General features: G+C 42.3%; 1 protein-coding gene, 1 non-coding gene and 1 pseudogene across 12 annotated transcripts in view; 1 reads left to right on the top strand and 2 right to left on the bottom strand.

The window, feature by feature from the left end:
* Positions 1 to 25,161, bottom strand: part of ZNF107 (zinc finger protein 107) — a 45,445-nt gene that overhangs the window by 16,988 nt on the left and 3,296 nt on the right. For 2 of the 11 annotated variants that reach the window (NM_001013746.3, XM_047420452.1), the window contains exons 2-4: positions 15,254 to 15,413; positions 3,216 to 3,342; positions 2,630 to 2,725 (exon numbers count right to left, since the gene is read on the bottom strand). In NM_001013746.3, coding sequence (NP_001013768.1) covers positions 2,630 to 2,648 — 19 coding nt within the window. In that variant the 5' untranslated portion in view covers positions 2,649 to 2,725; positions 3,216 to 3,342; positions 15,254 to 15,413. Of the gene's footprint in view, positions 1 to 2,629; positions 2,726 to 3,215; positions 3,343 to 4,064; positions 12,902 to 15,253; positions 15,414 to 25,161 lie in introns of those variants that run through there. The other 9 variants (NM_001388026.1, NM_001282359.2, NR_104148.2 and 6 more) reach the window with 7 other exon arrangements.
* Positions 7,197 to 15,636, top strand: BNIP3P11 (BCL2 interacting protein 3 pseudogene 11; annotated as a pseudogene).
* Positions 15,414 to 15,526, bottom strand: MIR6839 (microRNA 6839). Its single transcript, NR_106898.1, has one exon. It is a non-coding gene; the product is annotated as a microRNA 6839 (primary transcript).

Here is a 25,161-nt window from a genome sequence, read left to right as displayed (position 1 = left end):
TTAAAGACCAGCCTCAGTTATAAAGCAAGAACCCATCTAAAAAATAAGTGCCTTTAAAAACAAAAAACAAAAAAAAACAAAAAAAAAGAAAAAAGAAAATAAATAAAAAATAAGTGCCTTTAAGAGAGCTCCGAGTTCCAGGAAGGGAGTTGTGAAACTCTGCTAGAGCCAAAGATTGAGAAGTGTTCCTTTTCAGAAGGCGGGTCCTTATTCAGGAGGCAAACTACAAGACCCCTGTACTTGGCTACAGACCAGGAAATGGCCCTCCCAACTTGGTCCCACTAATTCTGAACTCTGTCATCACCTCAAACTTCTCCCAGCCACAGTCTGCGAGAGGTCCTGTCTTTCCAGAGGCCTGGAGGAGAACACTCATTTGTAGCCATGCAGGCAGGCCTGCAGACCTTGGCCTCTACTGTGGTCCCTGAAACAGTTCAATGACTCAGTTCCAGCTCCCTGATCCACAGTTCATGGTCAGTTCTGCCTACATAGAAACCCACACAGTGGCTGGGTGTGGTGGCTCACGCCTGTAATCCCAGCACTTTGGGCGGTAGAGATGGGTGGATCACCTAAGGTCAGGAGTTCGAGACCAGCCAGACCAACATGGTAAAACTCCGTCTCTACTAAAAATATAAAATTAGCCAGGCGTGGTGGCACACATCTGTAATCCCAGCTACTTGGGAGACTGAAGCACGAGAATCGCTTGAACCCGGGAGGCAAAGGTTGCAGTGAGCCGACATCACGCCACTGCACTCCAGCCTGGGCAAGAAAAGCGAAACTCCATCTCAAAAAAAACAAACAAAAAACCCACACAGTGACCTGGAAAAATCCTCTCTGGTATTCAGTGAAAACCATACTCATCCACATCCTGATATAAGGCCTACCATATGCAGACCCGACTGCAAAAACATGCCCTAATATCTGCCCTGCAGAGCAACATCCTGAAGGACATTCAGTCTATCCAAAACTAAAATGGGAATTAAAACTACCCAAGCTTCTAGTAACAAGCCAATAAAGGTGGACCCTAGTGCAGACCCAACATCCTTGTGACTAAGCTACAACCCCTCTCCACTACAAACCCAGAGGGCATCCCATCACCTGGGGGCTCAACAAAAGATCTTTACCTCCTAAAATTAGTTTATAAAAACTTAAAGAGGTTTTTGCTCTTTCAAATTCACAGACACCAGTGCAAAACTATATTGTGCCCATTGTCAATGCTTTTATCATAGCACTGAAAGTATGTGGCAAAAGAATTAGTTAAGAAAAAAAAAAAAAAAACTGGCCAGGCGTGGTGGCTCACGCCTGTAATCCCAGCACTTTGGGAGGCCGAGACGGGCAGATCATGAGGTCAGGAGATCGAGACCATCCTGGCTAACATGGTGAAACCCCATCTCTACTAAAAATACAAAAAAAAAAAAAAAAAAAAATTAGCTGAGTGTGGTAGAGGGCGCCTGTAGTCCCAGCTACTCAGGAGGCTGAGGCAGGAGAATGGTGTGAACCCGGGAGGCAGAGTTTGCAGTGAGCCGAGATCACGCCACTGCACTCCAGCCTGGGCGACAGAGCAAGACTCTGTCTCACAAATAAATAAATAAAGAAAAATAAAATAAAATAAAACAACACTGAAATTGAAGACAAGTAAAAAGTTGCTGGTTGCAGATCATATACTCTTACACATACAAAACCATAAACAGTACATTAAAACCCATCAAAACTGATAAATATACTTAGCAAATTACCAAAATATAAAATTAACATACAAGTATAAATTATGGTTCCATCCACTCAAAACAAACTATCTGATAAAACAGAGGAAGAACACAATCCTATTTATAATACCATTAAGATAATATATTCTTGAGAACAAATTAAACCAAGGAGGTAAAAAAAATTTACAATGAAAGAAATTAGAGAAGACACAAATAAATTTTAAAATATTTTATGAATATGGATTGAAATAATAAATATTGATAAAGCACCATGTTTTCCAAAGTGATCTATAGATTCAATAAACTCCCTATTGAAATTCCAGTGGCATTATTTTCACAGTAATGAAAAATAGAATTCTAAAATTTACATGAAACTACAATAAACTTTGAAGAGCCAAAGCAATTTTGTGAAAAAAGAACAAAGCAGAAGAACATCATAGTTTATAATTTCAAACTATATTTCAAGACTATAGTAATAACAACAGAATGGAATGGCAGAAAAATCAACAAATAAAAGAAAACCCAATGGAACAGAAACCACTACTCACACATTTCAGATATGATGCAAAAAATAACTTAAAAAAGTTTAACATAGAGGTTTTCAAAATTATGCAGATGTATGTGTGTCCCCCAAAACAATAAAAAAGTCAGATTGTGCACTCTCTTATATGCCATGAAAAGAACTTTGGCTGTCACTGTGAACTTGAAGAAAGATCACTGAAGGGAAAGTAGAATCCTTAGAGAATTTAAAAGCATAAGACAGAAGATGCCCTATGTGACAGCAAAAGAAAAAAAAACTCAGGCTTTCCAGAAACTATTTCCTTTGGAACACAGCTTCCCAAATCATATTTTAAGGACTGGCTTTTTCTTTGACCTTTGACCTTTCATCTTTGTCATCTGTTGTATTCACTTTCACTCTCACCTACCTGGGGGTTTGGCTACCATCTCATGTCTTTTTATATTCCAGGGCTCTTTTTTTTGCTCCAGACAGGTGATCAGATATGGCTTAGAGACAGCAATACCTGTTTTATTGAAAATAAATATATAACATGAATCTTAATCATATTCTCCAATTACTAATCCAGTAAGGTGCTCAGTAAAGAGGATGTAATAGAATAAATACTAATTTATAACATATATTTCTAAATATTCAGAAAATATTTTAAATGTGTAGGTTTTAAATTTTACTATCTGGTACTATTGAATCAAAAATTGGTGTTGGAAATTAGATTTTAAGGCGTGGGCAACAATATTTCATGCCACTAAATTTCTGGAATTATCACTAATCTAGAGTGAAAAATACAGATTAGCTCACTAATGTGAAAAGTTCAGGTCAAGATGAAGTATCTTGAAGGAATTATTTTCTACACAAAGAAATCTCAAGGATTTTCTTGAAAACAGAGATCTGAAACTCATTTATGCAAAGCATAAATTACCAGAAAACAGTCTACAGAAATAGAGAAATAAAACTTTAAGGGTATTTTGGGAATTGTGTATTGAAGTTATCCTCACCCAAAAAGACCAGGTTTCTGTAGTTCTCTAACAACACATTCCTATATAAATCCCGCTGTGCAGTATCCAGGCATTGCCACTCCTCCAGAGAGAATTCTATGGCGACATCTTTAAATGTCAGTGGTTCCTGAAAAACACAAACACACACACATTTACCAAGCAGCCATAAGCTGTCATTGAATTTTTAAAAAAATGTATAGGATAGTCGGGTACTGTGGTTCATGCCTGTAATCCCAGCACTTTGGGAGGCCAAGGCAGGCAAATCACGAGGTCAAGAGATTGAGACCATCCTGGCCAACATGGTGAAACCCCGTCTCTACTAAAAATACAAAAATTAGGCCGAGCGCGGTGGCTCACGCCTGTAATCCCAGCACTTTAGGAGGCAGAGGCGGATCACCTGAGGTTGAAGAGTTCGAGACCAGCCTGACCAACATGGTGAAACCCCGTCTCTACTAAAAATACAAAATTAGCAGGGTGCAGTGGCACATGTCTGTAATCCCAGTTACTAGGGAGGCTAAGGCAGGAGAATTGCTGGAACCCGGGAGGCAAAAGCTGCAGTGAGCTGAGATTGCTCCACTGCACGCCAGCCTGACAACAGAGTGAGACTCTGTCTCAAAAAAAAAAGAATAAAAAAATGTATAGGATAAAAGCTAAATATAGTCAGATGAGAGGGATACAGAAAAGGACAGTTTAATGTGGTTTAGATAAATTTTCACTGTGTTTATTTTTTTGTGACTTGTGGGAAACTACTGGATCTGCAGGAATAGAAAACACATTGCTAAATGGAATGTCTCTGCAAATACTGGTTTTAATAAAAAATTTTAAAAATTAGGACCCTAAAATGCATACCTTTTTTTCCCATTTATCTCCTTGTGGAATTCGGGAATTGTTAGCAACCACTCCGGAAAGGCACCAGCCAAAACTCTGATCTCTTCTAATCAGTTCTGTGAGGCAAGACTCCAGGGTGGGGCCAGACCTAAATAAAGCCTCCAAAAAGGGTGAATCTGAACAGAACTGCAGCTGGGAGTAAACCCTATATATTACTCTGCTCAACCCATCAACTGTGTAAATATACTAATTAGCCATTTAAACAAATCTCCTGGGGTTTTCTAGGGTAATTTTATTATAAGATAAATATGTATTCTTAGCAAAGTAAAAGAAATAAAAATATTTAAAACTCTTGTGGTCATAAACATTCATTCAAATGATGACCTCAGAAGTCACAACGATATAAAGAAAGTGGCCCAAATAAAGCCCACACGTTTTCCCACACATCTATTCACTTTGCCAACCATATGATGCTTAATTCAACCACGTATTCAGTTGCTAGTCTAGACTAACAGTTCCTAGATGGTAGGGACCATGACTGCTTTATCTATTTTTCTAAGGGCCATATGAAATGGTAGCAATTAGTTTATCTGCTTGAGTCTCCAGACCTCCTCCTTGTTTTTCATCCAACTATCAGGAAACTGGGAAACTCTCAACTGGATACCAACCAAAGACATCTCTTGTATGAGGGGAGGAGCAAACACAGGATGTCTCATTTCTCTTACACTGAGACAGAGGCAGAATTAACCACTCTTGTCAACCTGACACAATTCTGCTCTGGACATCCTCAAATATCTCAAAGATGCCTAGGTGATTGTGAGAGAGTTCCCAGTGACCCTGGGCTGATGGCCAAGGATAAGGCAGGCAGGAGAGACTCAGGCTGATTCTAAATAGAAAGTGGAACTGCCACAGTGGAGCTCCAGATTACGGGTCCTAATTAGCTAGCTCTTGGGCAAAAGGAAAGAAAAAATACTCTAGTCCAGTATTACATTTTACGGGTAGGTATAATTGTGATCATGACTCTCGATACTTTGTGGCCTTCATCTCTCACCCCTAAGATGCTTGTTTACGCTTACAGAATCTGTCATCAGATTCTATTTACACCTGGATCCTCTCACATAACTGTAGCAGGTCACTGAACAAGATCTGAAAAGTTCTAAGAGCAACACTCTCAAAGGGAAGCTTTAAGATGTCTATGTTGACATCTCACAATGCAGAAAATGTCTCCTGTTGGTTTTCTGTACTTTCTCAAACCAGAGTCTGGCCCTGTCTTGTAAATTCCAGGGAGAGGCCAGACCTTATGTACAGATTCTAGGTGGGAGCAGCCTGCCTCTGCATTTTTGGGTGTTACAGCAAGTGGAGCACAACCAAAGGAGAGATCGCCTCATAGAGGCTGCTCTAGCACATTCTAAATAATATGTCTACTTGAAAGGAAAAAGCTGAAGCTACATGAATATAAGTAGAGAGTTTATTTGAGCCAAGATTGGGAATTGTAACCTGGGATCAAAGATTCATGTTGCCAGGAATCTACACTTTGATTAGCGCAGCTGCAAGTGGATTTGTAAAGGCAAAAAGAGAGGGAAAGAGGGTGGGCTGATACAAAGTTGTTTGTCAGAAACTCTCATTTGTTTACAAAAAAATAAGATTGATTATTGATTGGATAAACATTGTTAAGCTATAGGGTGTGGGTTACAGGATCCAGTGTGTCATTATTAGTTTAATTTATACCTACTTGTGGCAATAGCAAGCAGTTTCAAGAGATAAATTCTTAGCTCAAAGAACAGAGAAATACATAATTGTGGTATTATTTTAATGTCTCTGAACCTTATAACTAAAAGAATTTGCATTTCTCAGATAAAAGGTTTTATTTTTTCCCAAATCTTAAGACCCTGATTCAGAATTTGGAGCTGCAAATTTAGTTCCTGGATGGGTGCAGTAGCAGTAGGTGTCATCCACACATTTGTGGGTATTTTAAGAAGAGGAAGAAGGGGTTGGGTGTGGTGGCTCATACCTGTAACACCAGCACTTTGGGAGGCCGAGGCAGGCAGATCACCTGAGGTCATGAGTTTGAGACCAGCCTGGCCAACATGGTGAAACCCCCCCTTCCACTAAACATACAAAAATTAGCTGTACGTCTTGGTGCGTGCTTGTAATCCCAGCTACTCAGGAGGCTGAGGCAGAAGAATCATTTGAACCCAGAAGGTGGAGGTTGCAGTGAGCCGAGATCATGCCACTGCACTCCAGCCTGGGCAACAGAGTGAGAACCCATGTCAAAAAAAAAAAAAAAAAGAGGAGGAAGGGAAAAAATATGGAGATTCTCATGTCTACTTAAGGCACACGTTACTCTGGGTTTCTGGGTCCCATGATCTCTGAAGCAGTTTCTGGTCTAAAGATACAAGAGTCATTGAAAGAGGTAAAATGGTTAACTGCTGCCCTGTGAAGTATGTAGAAATCTGGCCTAGCTCTCTAGAGGTGACTGTAGAGGACTATAACACCAAATAGACAGAGACACAATTCTGCCTGCATATTTAGGGGACAGCATGCATTTTGCAGCACAATTGTGAGTTGACTGGAAGCCTGAAAGGAAAAGCCTCCTCTGGATTAAAGCTTGGTTGGCACCTTATATGTTTATATCATGTGTGGTAATTCTAGACAGTGTTTGGAAAATATAAATAAAAGAAAAATTTTCTCCAGCTCCAGAGTAACTCCACAATGATAGAACAGAAAGAAAGCTGTTTTATTACACAATTCAACCAGAATGTGACATGCATCACAGTCAATCTGCTTAAGAGATTGCAAAGACAGAAAGACGGTCACAATAATTAGTCCACAAGTAGAAAAATTTACAGCACATGTCATACATAGTTCATCATAAATTCACCTGGTAATTTGGGAGGTCATCCATATATGCTAATTGGTTATAATCAATGACAAAATACACTTTTCACATCTTCATGACAAAAGGTAATTTTGCAACTTAAAGCCAGGTGCCTCCTGCTTGCCGTCTCCTGGTAGCTTGTGTCCTCTCTTGACTCCTACCATCTGCCACTGAGGCAGAGCCCCCAGCACACAGCTCACACCTGGCACCCTATATATAACCCCAACTGCCACAGCAGCACTTCAATGCCACATCAGAGAATGAAGCCTGAGTTGCAGGAGGAGAGCCTGCAGGCCTCCTGGGTAGAATTGCACCTTCACAATAATGGGAATGGGTGCAGTGTTTAAGCCTCAGTTTTTTATTTGTAATGGTGACATGGAAATCACTCTGCTGGATTTCCAGCATGAGTCCATATAGAGATAGCTCCAAGAGTTCTCACTATGACAGCCCACCTCATTAACAGACACCATGGGATAGTAATAGGGCTTCCAAAACAGACACCCAATGCATTCAAGAGAAAAACAGCTCACTCTGAAAATGATTATATTGAGAGGGAAAAAAAAAGAAAAGCATCTTAAGAAAAAAACTCAGATTAGATATGATTGAACAAGTCAGCCAGAAAAACTTCCCCTAAAACACATTTCTCTGTAAAAACCCAAAGTGCACAGCTACCCTCAGTATGAAAAACATGAGCATTATGAATAACGGGGGGCATATTCTCAGCAGAATTTTGTAAGTGTGTGTTACAGCGTGGTCTGGATTGAAGACCCAAGCAGACTTTGTGTGAGCAACAAGGCCGTTTATTCACTTGGGTGTTAGTGGGCTGAATCGGAAAAGGGAGTCAGCCCGGAGGTGTGAGGGAGAGCAGTCTTTACAGGGCAAAGTGGCGGGTGGAAAATTACAACATGGTTTTGGGACTTGTTGACTCAAGAAGTTGATCAACCAGTTGGAACAGAAACCCGTTGTTCTTCTTTTGTGGTTTTTGGTTGTTGCAGGTTTTCTGGTTCCAGGAAGTCTGGAGGCATATGTGCTGGTCACAGAGTTCTTAATGGCCCACCGTCAATAATGGCCTGCTGGCAATAATGCAGCCATATTTGTGGGATATGACATTCCTGTCTTTTTGTTTTAATAAGAAAAGAAGTGGACGGGGTGATGTTTCTCAGGGATTCTTCGAGCGGGACTTGGGGCGGCATGGACTCCTAATTGGGAGAGAGATCTTGGGGTGGGGGTGACATTGAGGGGCAGTTAGGAGTAGCATTTGTCGCATAGATTGATTGGTAATAGCTTGAATGAGATTTTGTAGGAACTGAGAGGCTAGACGGAAGAGGCAGGGTCCAAATAGGAGAAGGAGAATGATGGAAATGAGGGGCCCAGCTATAGGGAGAAGCCACAACGCCCAGCTCCAAAGATTGGTGTTAAAAGTCTGAAAGACATTGTCTGATTTTAGAAGCCTTTTCATTTAACTGCGAGGCAGCATCTCGTACTAGTCCAGACTGGTTGGTGGAAAAACAATCTTCCCCTAAAAAGGTGCATAGCCCACCTTTTTCGACGGTTAGGAGGTCTAAGCCACGGTGGTTCTGCAGAGTTACTGCTGCTAAGGAGTCTATTTGGGATTGGAGAGTAAGGGTGGATTTTGCTATGTCTTGTAGGCTGTCTGAGAGATCCTTTGAGAGTGTATGATAGTAGGACAGGGAAGGGGACAAACCTGCTATTCCAGTTCCTGTGGCATTGGTAACTCCTAGTCCTATAAGCAAGGGTATTATCTGCACAGCCCTATGCTGATGGACTTGGGCTCTGACAGGGACTGGTAAGGTTTGGTTTCCAGGGGCAATGTCAATTTTGGGGCTTAGGAAGATTAGGGTACAGGTGCTTGTCCAGTTAGTGGTGAGGCAGACATAGGTTGAAGTTCCACACAAGAAGAATATGCCTTGGCTGGGTAGGCAGAACTGGCTGTGTATGTTAAAAAGGTGTGTGAATTTGTTTTCATTTTCCCACACCCCTAGGGTACTTGCCAAGGCGGCCCCAGTGAGCGGCTGAAAAGGGATGTTTGGGATAAGCTGAGTGGCTCCCTGTGTTTTATTTTCCCATTGGAGGAAAAATCATTTTGTATCTACTAGGAGCCACTCAGAAGGGTAATCGAAAGAGGGGATAAGGAGGCATTCGTCAGTGGTGGGAGTGCTGCTGCAGGAGGTCCAGGGGTGAATGGTCATGCAGTGCGTATGCCTGCCATTACAAAACCCGGATTGTTTGTTAAGCAGAGAGGTGCTGATGACTTCTGGGGGCTTTGAGAAGCGGACAGGCTGTTTGAATGTAGCTGTTTGGGAGACCTGGAAGTTAATACAGTCAGTTGGGGCTTGAAGCTGCAAGGCGTAGTTGCACTGATGGAACAGTAGGTGACCTAGAGGTAGGCCTGATGACAGGTTGTGTTGGATGCATAAAGGGGCTTGGAAAGTTAAGACAGCGTTTGTAGTCACAGGGCCGTGTATGGGCTTTTCATTACTTGTGTAATGGGTGAGGCTGGACATGTAGGAGCGTAAAAGTTGAACTGCACGACCTGTCAGGGTATTTTCGGTCATTTCATTGATGGAGAAGTTGGCCAATGACTGCATATGTAGGAGTTAGAAGGGGCTTTTTCCTTCATTACGAGGGTGGTAGGTTAAGCTAGTAACTACCCAGTTTTTTGTGGGAATGAGAGTGGCAACGTAAGTGGTAGCTGATAGAGAAATGCAAAGCCAGCGTCCTTTGCCAAAGAAGGGTTGGACTGGTTTAACAGAGAGTGGGTTGAGAGTTTTGTAGAGGTAATTAGGCATTACTGGAAGTGGGAGTGCGGCCATGCCAGGTAGCCAAAGGAGCAGGAGGGATAGATAAAGAGTGAGTAGGAAGGTAAACAGAGGCGTCTCATCTGGGAAGAAGTTATACAGAGTGCCCTAAAAGATGAGATCATCTATCCAGTTTAAGAGAGAATCTAAGGTGGGAGTTTGGGGATGAAACCAGGAGATGTCTTGGCAAATAGAGTGGAGGAAGAGGGTGAAGAAGCAGGGCGGACAGGAGCAGGACATTTAAGTTTCTTCAGGGATTTCGGTGAGTTTTAACGAGGTCGGGGAGAGTACTTGCGACTTCCAAGAGGAGGAAGAAGGGTCAGGCTGAGTGTCAGATGGACACAGCTTTACTCTGGAAGGGTGAATCCACTGAGGAGGATCTTGTAAGCAGACAGCCATTGGGGTACCATAAACGACCAGGAAGGGTCCTGTCCACTGAGGTTGTAGAGATCAGGGGGTTAAGCTCTTTATCAGGATGGGCTGTCTGGCCAGAGTGTCCTCATATGGCTGGGTATCTGAGGTGGGTAAAAGAAGGTTAGCAGCCTGACAGATTTCATTCCTAGCCTGTTGGAGGACTGGTGTCTGGGATGAGGTTGGGCCCCAGTAGAAAAGTACTACCATATAAGAGTTCGAATGGGCTATACCTGGTAGGTTCATGGGCGGTGGCTCAGATCCTGAGAAGCACAAGTGGTAGGAGAACAGTCCAGTCCTTTCGGAGTTGGAGGGTGAGTTTTTAAGAGGCCGTTGGCTCTTTCAACCTTTCCTGAGGAATGAGGATGGTATGGGGTGTGGAGATTCCACTGGATGCCAAGGGCCTGGGAAACTGCCTGGGTGATTTGGCTAATGAAGGCTGGACCACTGTCAGATTGGATGGAAGTAGGGAGGCCGAAACAGGTAACAATATCTGTTAGAAGAGAGGTAAAAACTGCTGCAGCCTTTTCAGATCCAGTAGGGAAGGCCTCGACCCATCTGGTGAAGGTATCAACCCAAACTAGGAGGTACTTATATTTTTTGACACGAGGCATATGAGTGAAGTCAATTTGCCAATCTTGTGTAGTAGTAAACCCTCAGGCCTGATGTGCTGGGGAAGGAGGGGGCCTAAGAAAACCTTGGAGTGGCAGACAGAACATTAAGAAGTGATTGTTTAAGGACGGACTTCCATGATGAGAAAGAAATAAGGGGCTCTAGGAGGCGAGCCAAAGGCTTGTATCCTACATGGAAGCGGTCATGGAGGGATAAGAGAATAGATTGCGCTTGTGAGGCAGGAAGAAGGAACTTTCTATGATCTAAGAACCACTTGCCTTGTGAGTTGGAAAGGACTAGCAGAGCAGGTTTTCAGAAGAAGAGTAGTAGGTAGGGATAATAGATGAGAAAGAAATATACTGGTCTTTTGGAGCAGAGACTGGAACGTCTGCAGACACTGAGGTGTTTGCCACCTCTTTTGCTGTTTTACTGGCATGGGCATTTCCTTTAGTGATAGGGTCTGTTGGTTTTTGGCATCCTCTGCAGTGGACAACTCCAGCCTTGGCTGGCAGAAGAGCAGCCTTAAGGAGGGCCTTTATGAGAAAGGCATTGATAATGGAAGACCCTTGTGTGGTTAGAAAACCTCTTTCCACCCAGATGGCAGCACTGTGATGAAGGATGTGGAAAGCATACCTGGAATCAGTATAAATATTGACGTGCATTCCCTTAGAGAGAGACAGCGTGAGTTAAAGCAATTAGTTCAGCTTGCTGAGAGGTGGTGGAGGGTGGAAGTGCAGCAGCCTCGATAACAGATGTGTGGGACACAACAAATAGCATAACCTGCCTTGGCTGGCGAAAATTGGTTGGGTCTTGAAGAACTACCATCAATAAACCAAGTGTGATCTGGGTTTGGGACTGGAAAAACAGAAATGTGAGGAGAGGGGGAGGATGCCATGTGTATTAAGGAGATGCAGTCATGTGGCTCAGGACATGTGTTGGGTGCTAAGTGAAAGGCTGGGTTGAAACTGGGTCCAAGAGCAATGGTTAGCATGGGGTTTAAAATAAAGAGTGAATAAAGCTGGAGGAGATGGGAGGAGAGTAGTTGTGTGAGGTGAGAGGAAGAAATGAGACTCTGGAGGTTGTGAGCGCTATAGAGGGTAACTGGGGTGTAACCAGTGATTTTGAGGGATTCTAGGAGTATTAGGGCAGTGGCCGCTGCAGCATGTAAACAGGGCAGCCAGCCTAGGACTGTGAGGTCAAGTTTAGATAAGTAGGCCACTGGTCGTGGGCCTGGCCCTTGTGTTAGGACCCCAACTGCACATCCCTTTACCTCTGCCATGTAGAGAGAAGGGCTGGGTGGAGTCGAGGAACGCCAGTGAGGAGGCTGTCTCAAGAGCTTTTTTCAGGGAGTGAAAGGATGAATGAGGGAAGGTTTGGGGTCTATGGGGTCAGCTAGGTTGCCTTTTGTAAGCTTATAAAGGGGTTTTGTTAAGAGGGCAAAACCAGGTACCTAGAGGTGGAAGTACCCAATGATGCCTAGGAAGGAGAGAAGCTGCTGTTTTTGAAGGGACTGGGGTCTAGGAGATTAGGTGAATACGGTCAGCGGGGGGAGTGCGGGTGTGCTGATGGAGAATTATGCTGAGACAAATAACAGAAGGGGAAGAAATTTGAGCTTTAGAAGGGGACATTCGGTACCCTTTAGAGTCTAAATGCTGAAGGAGTAGGAGGATATTCTGTTGGGAGGATTCCTAGGAGAGACTGCAGAGATCATCGACATACTGGATGAGGTAGGAAAAGGAAGGCTGAAAAGAGAGTAGGTCGCAGGCAAGGGCTTGGCTAAAATAATGAGGGCTATTCCGGAAGCCCTGGGAAGAATGGTCCAGGTTAGTTGTTGGGACTGATGGGTGTCAGCGTCAGTCCAGGTGAAGGCAAAAAGAGGTTGAGAGGAGGGATGTAGGGGAATGGTGTAGAAGGCATCTTTTAGGCTGAGAACGGAATAATAGGTAGTGGTGGGAGGTATTCTGGACAAGAGAGTATATGGGTTTGGCACTATAGAATGGATGAAAAGTACAATCTGATTGATGAGACGAAGGTCTTGAACTAATATGTAGGACTTGTCTGGTTTTTGAAAGGGAAGGATGGGAGAGTTAATGGGTACTAAGAGGCCATGTTGTAAAAAGTGGGTAAAAAGGCTTTAGGCCTTTTAGGGGTGGCATAGGGATAGGATACTGGCATTGGGCAGGGTAAGGATGGTTTGGCCTTAAAGGGATGATAAGGGGGGAGTGATCTGTAGCAAGGGAGGGAGAGATGATATCCCAGACCCTGGGGTTGAGGAAGGGAGACGTTAGAGGAGCTTGTGGGGATGGTGAAGGGTTGGGGAGAAGGGTGGCAAGGAGGTGTGGCTGTAGCCTAGGAATAGTGAGGGAGGCAGACAGTTTTGTTAGGATGCCTCAGCCGAGGAGAGGGACTGGACAAGTGGGGATGACTAAAAGGAGTGCAAAAAGGAGTGCTGATCTAGTTGACACACAAGTGGAGTCTGGAGAGGTCTGGAGGCTTTGCCGTCAATTCCCACAACAGTCATGGAGGCTAGGGAGACAGGTCCCTGAAAGGAGGGCAGGGTGGAGTGAGTGGCCCCCATATCGATCAAAAAGGGGATGGACTTACCCTCCACCTTAAGAGTTACCCGAGGTCCATGATGGTCCATGGGGCCTCCGAGGTGTTCGGGCAGTGTCATTCCTCAGCCGCCAAGCCGAGGAGATCAGAGAAGGAGTCAGCCAGGGGGCTGTGGGGTTAAGCTCCAGGAGCTCTAGGGATGGCAGCTTGAGTTGGACAGTCTGACTTCCAGTGAGGGCCTGCACAAACAGGGCATGGCTTAGGAGGAACCCCAGGCTGCAGGCATTCCTTGGCCCAGTGACTATTTTTATGGCACTTGAAGCATGGCCCTGGAGGGGCTGCTGGGCGCTGCGGTCTGGATGCCTTGAAATCCCTACAGGCCATTGGTGTGGCTGGGGTTCGTCTTACGGCGGAGGCAAGCATCTGTAATTCAGAAACACGCTGCCACCAGGTAGCCTCTTCCCTGTTACTGAACACCTTAAAGGCAAGGTTAATTAAATCCTGTTGTGGGGTTTGAGGGCCAGACTCTAATTTTTGAAGTTTTTTTCTAATGTCGGGAGCTGACTGGGTAATAAAATGCATGAGTCGGCCTTCTGGCCCCTGGCCCTTCAGGGTCTAAAGCTGGATTTATGGCCAGATGGGCCACAAACTGGGCTGGATTTTCGTCCTTGCCCTGAGTGATTTCTTTTAACTTATCATAATTGACAGCCTTATACGCAGCTTTTTGGAGTCCCTCTACTAAGCAAGTGATCATATAATCTCGCCCGGCCATACCAGGAGATCCTGTTTGATAGTTCCACTGGGGGTCCTCACGGGGGACCTCCCTGGAGACCTGGCTCAAGGCGCCAGTGGTCACCTGCATAGGACTGAGCTAGGGCCCAAACACCCTCCCATTCTTCAGGAGTGAGTGTAGAAGTGAGGATGACATTTAAGTCACTCCAGGTGAGGTTATAAGACTGAGTTAAATATTGAAATTCCTGGATATATTTAGTGGAGTCTTATGGAAAAGAACCTAAACACTGGCTGACCTGAGACAGGTCAGACAGGGAGAAAGAAACATGAACTCGGACTATCCCTTCAGCTCCAGCCACCTCTCAAAGGGGAAATAGTGGGGTGGGAGGAGGGGGATTAGAAGTGGGACCAAATTGTCAGCCAGTTCGGGTATGGGGCAGAGTAGGGACAGAAGGGATATAGGGAGGCATGGTATGGGTAGAAGGGGGACTGGGGTCTGGAGAAGGGTTGGGACCGGAGTCGGACGGGCAGGGAGGAGAAATATCGGAAGGGTCTGTGGACAAGAAGGACTCGCTGTCGCCAGAGGGTGGTAGGGGAGCAGATGGGCGGGACAGAAGGAGAATTTGAGACAAATTGCATTGGGAACAAGGGCTGGGGAGGGACCGAAGTGTAAAACATGCCTGGATGTATGGAACCTCAAACCATTTGCCCATTTTGTGACAAAAGTTGTCTAAGTCCCACAAAATAGAGAAATTGAAAGTGCCATTTTCTGGCCACTGAGAGCCACTGTCTAATTTATATTGGGGCCAGGCCATATTACAGAAGAAAATGAGATGTTTAGGTTCCAAATCAGGTGAAAGACGGAGCGGTTTTAGATTCCTAAGGACACAGTCCAAAGGACAAGGAGGAGGAATGGAGGGTGGAAGGGTGCCCATAATGAACAGCGGAGGACTGAAGAAACAGAGAGACAGGGAGAGAGAAACGAGGAGGAGAGCAACCACAAGGACCTTCAGCAGGTGTCCCCATCTGGGTTGTGCAGTGGATGAGTGGCCAAGGCACATGTCCCTGTGGTTGACCAGTCACCTAGGGAAGCCTGTCTTCCCAGAGATAATCCATGACCAATGTTAGATTTAGGAAACACAGACAGTGAGTGTCCTCTCCTCTCTAAGAAAAGGAAAGTTTGAGAAAGGATGGAGGTCTCTTACCTATCCGAAGGCAGAGGCGGGGCTTTTACAGAGCTGGTCCGAGGTACCGAGGTCGCGGGTGGGTCTCTTCAAGAAGTCGGGGGAAGGGGTTAAGGGACACGACTCCCAAAGGAGTTCCCCTATCCCGGATTTCAGCATCAAATGTGTGTTATGGCACAGTCTGGATTGAAGAGAAAACCCAAGCAGGCTTCGTGTGAGCTCGCACCCAAGTGAATAAATAGCCTCACTGCTCACACAAAGCCTGCTTGGGTCGTCTCTTCAATCCAGACTACACCATAACACAAAGTAAGGTTCCTCTTTCATCTCTGCTGCTCTCTTATCTTCTAGCCATTGAATGGGAGATCTATACTGGAATATGCCTGACAATTTCCACCAAAACATTTTGATGAACAATTGGAATATGACTTTGTTAATATAGTGGAATATATTTGAGCTTGCATCATGGCTAAGTGAAGAGCTATTATGGTTTTTGAGTGGCCACATCACCCTTATTTGTCTTGTAATAGCAGCATTCCAATTTAGTGAAATAAAAGACACTAAAATCATGCTTCCCTAATATTATCTCTATTGAATAAACTAGTAAGCATATCATACTAATATCTACTATAATAATTTGGTAGTAAATTTTCTTTCACATTGGATAAAATACCTAAGTATAAATAATTTTAGTGTACTAGTCATAATGTATGTAGGATTTTAAAATATTGTCTGTAACCATAATTCAATTAAAACACTTTATGTTTTGAAAGTATGAATAACAATACTAAAATGACTAAGGGATTCATTCAAAGTAAATATTGTGGCCTTACATTTATACTAGTGTAGAAAATACTGTTCAATTGATATGAATGCAGTTTGTCTACAAATGCTACACCTAACTATGCTAATTGTTCTGAAGTAATAAATAGAAACCAAAGAACAACTACATACTCCACTGTTCGGTTCATACACTGAACCTCGCTTTTGCAATGGAAGTATTTTAGCCTGCAAATATTAGATAATTACGTTGGATAATCCATTTTCTGTCAAAGGAATTTACTCAGCATTTTTTAGTCCTCATTATTCAGTACTGCTAAATTTAATACTATCTTTGTGCTCAACTTTTGTGTGCTCTTAAAATGAGTTTTGATTTAAACAAATCTGTGTCTACTTTAAAAGATTAAAAAATTTTAAAAAATTTGCCAAAGCAAAAACAAAGCAATAAACCTGAGGTCTCAGATAAAGACAATCCCAAATCAAGAACAATGACCAAAAATTTATTTAGCTGTTAATATAATTTATGTATCGTTCAAAACAACAAAGACAAAAATCTATGTATAATTTAAATCCTTTAAGAAAAAAGAGATTAGCAAAATATCCTCCCTTATTTTTCACATAGGAGAATAAAGCCTCTTATTTCTAATTTTTATTTTCTCCTACAACAGACAGGTCTCTGGACATGTTTTTGAACTCCTGGACATCCTTTTTTTTTTTTTTTTTTTTTTTGAGACAGAGTCTTGCTCTGTCGCCCAGGCTGGAGTGCAGTGGCTTGATCTTGGCTCACTGCAAGCCCCGCCTTGCGGGTTCACACCATTCTCCTGCCTCAGCCTCCCAAGTAGCTGGGTCTATAGGCACCCACTACCACGCCCATCTAATTTTTGTATTTTTAGTAGAGACAGGGTTTCACCGTGTTAGCCAGGATGGTCTCGATCTCCTGATCTCATGATCCGCCCGCCTCGGCCTCCCAAAGTGCTGGGATTACAGGCGTGAGCCACCACGCCTAGCCGAACTCTTGGACATCTTAATTTTGCACACTGTATGCAACTGAAAGAATGTTATCAGAAAAAAAAATAGAAGAGAGAAAGGTGTTATAAAAAAAAAAATCCGGCGAGGTGCGGTGGCTCATGCCTGTAATCCCAGCACTTTGAGAGGCCAAGGCGGGTGGATCACCTAAGGTCATGAGTTCGAGACCAGCCTGACCAACATGGCAAAACCCCGTCTCTACTAAAAATACAAAAATTTGCCAGGCATGGTGATGCATGCCTGTAATCCCAGCTACTTGGGAAGCTGAGGCAGGTGAATGGCTTGAACCTGGGAGATGGAGGTTGCAGTGAGCCAAAATCATGCCACTGCACTCCAGCCTGGGCAACAAGAGTGAAACTCCATCTCAAAAAAAAAAAAATCCATGGGTATGTTAATCCAGAAAAATGACAAGACAAATCTCAATCATTTTAGGAGGTTTTTTGCCAAAGTTAAGGAGGTGTGCCCTGGAGACAAGTCTATGTCTTTCTTCTAAGATCATTTTGAGGACTTCATATTTAAAAGGAAAAGGGTGGGATGTTGGTAAGTATACAATTTTCATGTAAGAAGAGGATAGAAAAATACAGTCATTCATGCCTTTGTCTGGCTCAGTGAATCTGCATTTTTTTTAACATAAGATGACACAGACAAATAGGGCAGAAGAAAAATGCAGGGAACCTGAATTTTTACATAAGATAACATAGACAAAATGGGGCAGAGGAACAGATAGGCATCTGTGTCTGATGGAAAGGGGAGTGACTGAACCTATAAACTATCAATTTACATTTCTATGATAAAATTTTAACAGAAACACCTTGGGGTAAAGATCTGCAGCTCACTAGGAATTTTACTGTGGACACATATGGGGGGAGGTATGCAGCTTTTCATCTTTTAACCATCTTATTTAGGAACCAAAAGGGAAAGGCAGGTTTGTGTGACCCAGTTCTCAGATTAACTTCTCTCTTTGGCTTAATGAGTTTGGAGTCCCAAGATTTAATTTGCTTTCACAGGTGCACATGAATAAAGCAATTTCTTAGAGATTTATAAAGAGACTTAGATTCTGACACAGTAATAGTGGGAGACTACAACACCCCACAGACACTAATAAATCACTGAGGCAAAAAATTAACAAAGATATCAGGACCTAAATGTAACACTTGACCAAATAGTCCTAATAGACAGCTACAAAACTCTTCATCTACAAACTACATAATATACATTTTTCTCATCACCATATGGCACATACTGTAAAACTGACCACAATCAGAAATAAAACAATTCTCAGCAAATTCAAACATCCCAAAATTATACCAACCACAAACTTAGATCACAGCCTGATAAAAATATAATTGAATACAAAGAAAACCACTTGAAACCATACAATTACATACAAATTAAAAAACCTGGGCTGGGCATGGTGGCTCATGCCTGTAGTCCCAGCACTTTGGGAGGAAGAGGCAGGCAGATCACTTGAGGTCAGGAGTTTGAGACCAGCCTGACCAACATGGTGAAACCCTGCCTCTATTAAATATACAAAAATTAGCCGGGCGTGGTGGTGCATGCCTGTAATCCCAGCTACTCAGGAGGCTGAGGCACAGAATCACTTGAGCCCGGGAGGCAGAGGTTGCAGTGAGCCGAGATTGTGCCACTGCACTCCAGACTGGGTGACAGAGTGAGACTCTGTCTCACAAAACAAACACCTGCACCTGAATGACTTTTTGGTAAATAACAAAATTAAGGGAGAAATCAAGAAATTCTTTGGAACAAATGAGAACAAAGTACTGCAACACAGCTGACACAGTGTTAAGAGGGAAATTTATAGCACCAAATGTTCACATTAAAAAGTTAAAAAGATCTCAATTTAACAAACTAACATTATAAACAAAAGCATGAGAGCAGCAAGAGGAAACCAACTTCTAAACTAGCAGAAGGCAAGAAATAACCAAAATCACATCTGTACCAAAGGAAATTTAGACATGAAAAACTATACAAAAGATCAAGAAACCTAGGAGTTAAATCTTTGAAAAAATTAATAAGTTAAATAAACCACTAGTTAGATTCATGACAAAGACAAGATCCAAATAAACACAATTAGAAATGACAAAAGAAGCATTACCACTGACCCCACAAAAACACAAATAACTGTTGAAGTCTGCTATGAACACCTCTATGCACACAAACTAGAAAATCTAAAAGAAATGGATAAATTCCTGAACAAATACATCCTCCCAAGACTGAGCAGAAAAAGAAATTGAATCCCTGAATAGACCAATAACAAGCTCCAAAACTAAATTACTAATAAATAGCCAAGCAACCAAAAAAGGCTCAGGACCAGAGAGATTTACAGCTGAATTTTACCAGATGTACAAAGAAGAGCCGGTACCATTTCTTCTAAAACTATTCCAAAAAATTGAGAAGGCACTCTTCCCAACTCATTATATAAGAACAGTATCATATGATACCAAAACCTGACAGAGATATAACAAAAAAAGAAAACTTCAGGTCAATATCTTTGATGACCATTTATGCAAAAATCATCAGCAAAATACTGGCAAATTGAATCCAGCAGCACATCATAAAAGCTAATCCACTATGATCAAGTAGACTTTATCCCTGGCATATAAGGTTGGTTCAACATACACAAATCAATAAATGTGATTCATCACATAAACAGAAATACAGACAAAAACCACAAGATTATCGCAATAGATGCAGAAGAAGCTTTCAATAAAATTCAACATCCTTCGCATTAAAATAATTAAAGGCCCTCAACAAAGTAGGCACTGAAGCTACATACTTCAAAATAATGAGTTATCTATGAGGAACCCACAACCAACATATGGAATGGACAAAGCTAGAAGCATTTCTCCATGAAAACTGGCACAAGACTAGGATGCTTTCTCTCACCACTCCTATTCAACATAGAATTGGTGGTCCTCACTAGAGCAATCAGGCAAGCGACAAAAATAAAAGGCATCCAAATAGTAAGCAAACAAGTCAAACTATCCCTGTTTGCAGACAACATATCTAGAAAAGCCTATAGTCCTCACAGAAAAGCTCTTTAAACTGAAAAATAACTGAAGCAAAATTTCAGAATACAAAATAAATGCACAAAAATCAGTAGCATCCCTCTACATCAACAACATCCAAGATGAAAACCAAATCAAAAACACAATCTCATTCACAATTGCTACAAAAAGAATATTTAGGAATACAGCTAACCAGGAAAGTGAAAGATCTCTACAACAACAATTACAAAACACTGCTTAAAGAAGTTAGATATGACACAAATAAATGGAAAATCGTTTTATGCTCTTGGATAGAAAAGATCAAAATTATTAAAATGGCCATACTGCCCAAAGAAATGTACAGATCTAATATTATTCCCATCAAACTCCCAAAAACATTCTTAGCAGAACTTAAAAAAAAAAAACACCTATTTTAAAATTCATATGGAACAACAAAGAGCTCAAATAGCCAAGGCAATTCCAAGCAAAAAGAACAAAGCTGGAGGCACTGCATTACCTGAATTCAAACTATACTTCAGGGCTACAGTAACCAAAGAAGCATGGTAGTGGTAAAAAATAAATAAATAAAAATAAAACAACAACAACAACAACAAAAAACAGACCAATAGACCAGTGCAACACAATAGAGCCCAGAAATAATGCCACACACCTACAGCCATTTGGTCTTCTCACAAAGCTGACATGAGGAATGCGGGAAGAATTCCGTATTTAATAAATGATGCTAGAATAACTAGCTAACACTATGTAGAACATTGAAAGTGGATACCTTTCCTACACCATATATAAAAATCACTCAACATGAGTTACAGATTTAAATGTAAAACTTAAAATTATAAAATACCCTGGAAGACTAACCTAGGAAATACCATTCTAACATAGAAACTGACAGAGATTTCATGACGAAGATGCCAAAAGCAAATGCAACAAAAGCTAAAACTGACAAATAGGATGTAATTAAACTAGCTATTTCACAGCAATGGAAACTATCAACAGACAAACTACAGAATAAAATAAAATATTTGCAAACTATGCTTCTCACAAAGGTCTAATATCCAGCATCCATAAGAAACAAACAAATTTGTAAGAAAAACACAAACAACCTTATTAAAAAGTAGGCAAAAAACATGAACAGATGCTTTTCAAAAGAAGACATACATGTGGCTAAAAAGTAAATTTTAAAAATGCTCTGTCAGGTGCGGTGGCTCATGCCTATAATCCCAGCACTTTGGGAGGCCAAGGCGGGTGGATCACGAGGTCAGGAGTTTGAGACCAGCCTGACCAAGATGGTGAAACCCCATCTCTACTAAAAATACAAAAATTAGCCAGGCACGGTGGCAGGCACCTGTAATCCCAGCTACTCGGGAGGCTGAGGCAGAAGAATCGCTTGAACTCAGGCGGGAGAGGTTGCAGTGAGCCAAGATCGTGCCACTGCACTCCAGCCTGGGCAACAGAGTGTGACTCCATCTCAAATAAATAAATAAATAAATAAATGCTCATCACTAATCATTAGAAAAATGCAGAGAAAAACTACAATGAGATACCATCTCATACCAGTCAGAATGGCTGTTGTTAATAACAGATGCTGGCAAGGTTGAAGGGAAAAGGGAATGCTTGTACACTGCCTGTGGGAATGTAAATTAGTTCAACCATTGTGAAAAGCAGTGTGGTGATTCCTCACAGAACTAGAAACAGAATTACCATTTGACCCAGACACCTCATAATTGGGTTTATACCCAAAGAAATATAAATTATTCTATCACAGAGACACATGCACATGCATGTTCACTGCAGCACTATTCACATAGCAAAGATACGGAATCAACCAAATACCTATCGACGGTAGACTGGATAAAGAAAATATGGTATGGTAGGGCACGGTGGCTCACACCTGTAACCACAGCACTTTCGTAAGCTGAGGCATGCAGATTTGCGGAACTCAAAAGTTCAAAACCAGACTGAGCAATGTGGAAGAACCACGTCTTTACAAAAAATACAAAAAGAAAAATTAGCCGGGCATAATGATACACATCTGTAGTTCCAGCTACTTGGAGGGCTTAGGTAGGAGGATTGCTTGAGCCAGGGAGGTTGAGGCTGCAGTGAGCCAAGATCACACCACTGCACTTCAGCCTGTGTGACAAGATGAGACCCTGTCTCCAAAAATAATTATAATAAAAATAAAATAAAACAAAATATTTAATACAAACAAAATATGATACATAAACATCATGGAATACCATGTGGCCATAAAAAAGAACAAGAGCACGTCCTTTGCAGCAACATGGATAAAGCTGGAGACCATTAGCCATAGAAAACTAATGCAGAATAGAAAACCAAATATATTTTCTCATGTATAAGAGCTAAATAATAAGAACACATGGACACAAAGAGGGGAACAACAGAGGCCTAGCTGAGGGTGGAAGGTGAAAGAACAAAAAGGGTCGCCAGCCGGGCGCGGTGGCTCACTCCTGTAATCCCAGCACTTTGGGAGGCCGAGGCGGGTGGATCACAAGGTCAGGAGATCGAGACCATCCTGGTTAACACGGTGAAACCCCATCTCTACTAAAAAATACAAAAAAAAATTTAGCTGGGCTTGGTGGCGGGCACCTGTAGTCCCAGCTACTCGGGAGGCTGAGGCAGGAGAATGGCCTGAACCCGGGAGGCAGAGCTTGCAGTGAGCAGAGATCGCGCCGCTGCACTCCAGCCTGGGCAACAGAGCGAGACTCTGCCTCAAAAAAAAAAAAAAAAAAAAGAACAAAAAGGATCAAAAAAATACTTGTTTGGTGCTATGCTTAGTATCTCAGCGATAAAATAATCTGCACACGAAACCACCCTGACACAATTTTACCTATATAACAAACTGCATGTGTACTCCAAAACAGAAATAAAAGTTAAAAGGAAAAAAATCCATGGGTGGGGGAGAATGCCATGTAGGTGGGAGGAATGGTCTGTGCTACAGATAGTGGCCCAGATGGGGCTGTCCTCTGATTTATTTGCGTCCATGCAGGCAGATGAGATTATGAACAGGTGGTCCAGAATCCTTGGTTGGTGGAGAGAGCAGGCTGCTGCTGCAGATTCAGTGTCTGGGAATAGGAATATGTCAGGAGACTTGTAGACACTTTGGTGGGTTTTTGGCAAAAAACACTAGAATAAAAAAATGCTGTAGTGAAATTCCTAAGGGCGGTGCCTAGTCCTGGGAGGGGTGTGGACACATCAATGTATAATGGGTATGTTTGTGAGTGGGTGGAAATTCTGGGATGGCAGCTGCGAGAAAAGGGGGTCTATAATCAGACCTCCTTTCCTCTAAGTTTTCAGTCCTCTCTCACCATGGAAGGAGACCTGGAATCACAGGACAATGGGCAGTGTGACAGTCTGTGTACAGGAGGGTAGAGCGTCGCATTCCCAGACACCCAGAGTTCCACTCCAGGCCAGGCCTCTGTGATATCTTTCTTTTGGCACCAAATCTGTAAAGTTTGCTTAACACCAAGCAATTCTCCAAAACTAACACATTGTTTAACATTTGAATTCTGACCCCAGAGTCAGCAGACCCTGATTCAGGGCTCAGTCCCACAACACTGTCCTCACTGCAGATGCCAGTCAAAAACCATACGGGCCTATCAGTGCTTCTAAACTACTGTTTGAAAATTTAGAATTCCCATAACTCCCTCAAGTTCAATAATTTGATAAAGCTACTCACAGAACTCTGCAAAACACTGTGGTTATGTCGACCAGTTTACTATACAAGATACAACCCAGGAAAATTCAAATGGAAAAAATGTATAGGACAAAGAAAAGAGATGGGGAAAGATGAAGCACATAGATAATCCTGGTAAATAGCTGCGATTAATAAAAGTCCCCATCCTTTGTGTTCTCCAGGAACAGTTTATGAAAAGAAACACCCTTCCCATTATGACTTAGATGGTACTCTTTTTCTTAACTGTTTAATAACCAAACACTCACTCTGCATATTTTCTTTTTCATATTAAAAAATTAGCTGAATTTTTCTTCAGTGGTCAAAAGAAAGTTCTTCTTAATCAAACTTCACTTAAGTTTATCTCCTTTCCACAGGCTCCTGAACTTTGAGGTACCCTCAGTCTGAGCCAACATACAACCCCATTTTTTGTCCCTCCTAAAGACTTGATGACTTCAGGATAAAAGTGTTCTAATCTAGTATTTGATTTTTTTCACCCTCCATTTGCCATTCCCCTGTGACCTTCTTTCTAACCTTCTTTGCTCCTCCCTAAAAAAAAAAGTCTTTGTCTGCCTAAACTTTGCAATTCTTAAAGATCTTTTAGTTGGTATTTCCTTCTGTTGCAATACTCCTTTAAAATTCAGAATTTTTTTTACAGAAACCTTATTCTGTTTTTACAAAAAGTAAAATACTGCCTCAAAACGATAACAACTTCATCTTTAGTAAGACTCTCTCATTCCCCTTCCATCTTAACGTTAACTGCATCTGCCTGTGGGTCCCCCGACGTCCAGGGCTCTGTAGCTTCTCTCAGAATAAAGGCTTCTTCCATGGCTGGGGTGAGCAGGGGAGGCTTCCAAGAAAGAACTAACTGGGCCTTTAATAACCTCCCTTCCCTTTGCAGGCTCAATATTAGCCTTAGCTTGGAATCACTGGGCATAAGCTTTAATTTCCATGTCAAGGTTATTCACTTGGGTTTTGAAACTGCTTTAAAAATTCAGCAAAATTATGCACAGTATTTATATATGGGAAGGAAATTATTTTTTCTTTTTTTTTGAGACAGAGTCTCGCTCTGTTGCCCAGCCTGGAGTGCAGTGGTACACTCTTGGCTCACTGCAACCTCTGCCTCCCAGATTCAAGTGATTCTCCTGCCTCAGCCTACCGAGTAGCTAAGACTACAGGTGCCTGTCACCCACACCTGGCTAATTTTTCAGTAGAGACGGGGCTTCACCATGTTGGCCAGGCTGGTCTTGAACTCTTGACCTCAGGTGATCCGCCTGCCTCAGCCTCCCAAAGTGCTGGGATTACAGGCGTGAGCCACTGCACCCAACCAAGGGAAGGAAATTTTAAGGTGCTTACATTTCATACCTCAGTAAGAAATGCAAAGTATTTATTTCTTTCAGACGATAAATGTA

Source organism: Homo sapiens, chromosome 7 (genome assembly GCF_000001405.40).
Source record: "Homo sapiens chromosome 7, GRCh38.p14 Primary Assembly".
Lineage (NCBI taxonomy): Eukaryota > Metazoa > Chordata > Mammalia > Primates > Hominidae > Homo > Homo sapiens.
Note: the sequence above shows the minus strand (reverse complement) of the source record. Positions and strands in the feature narration are given on the sequence as shown.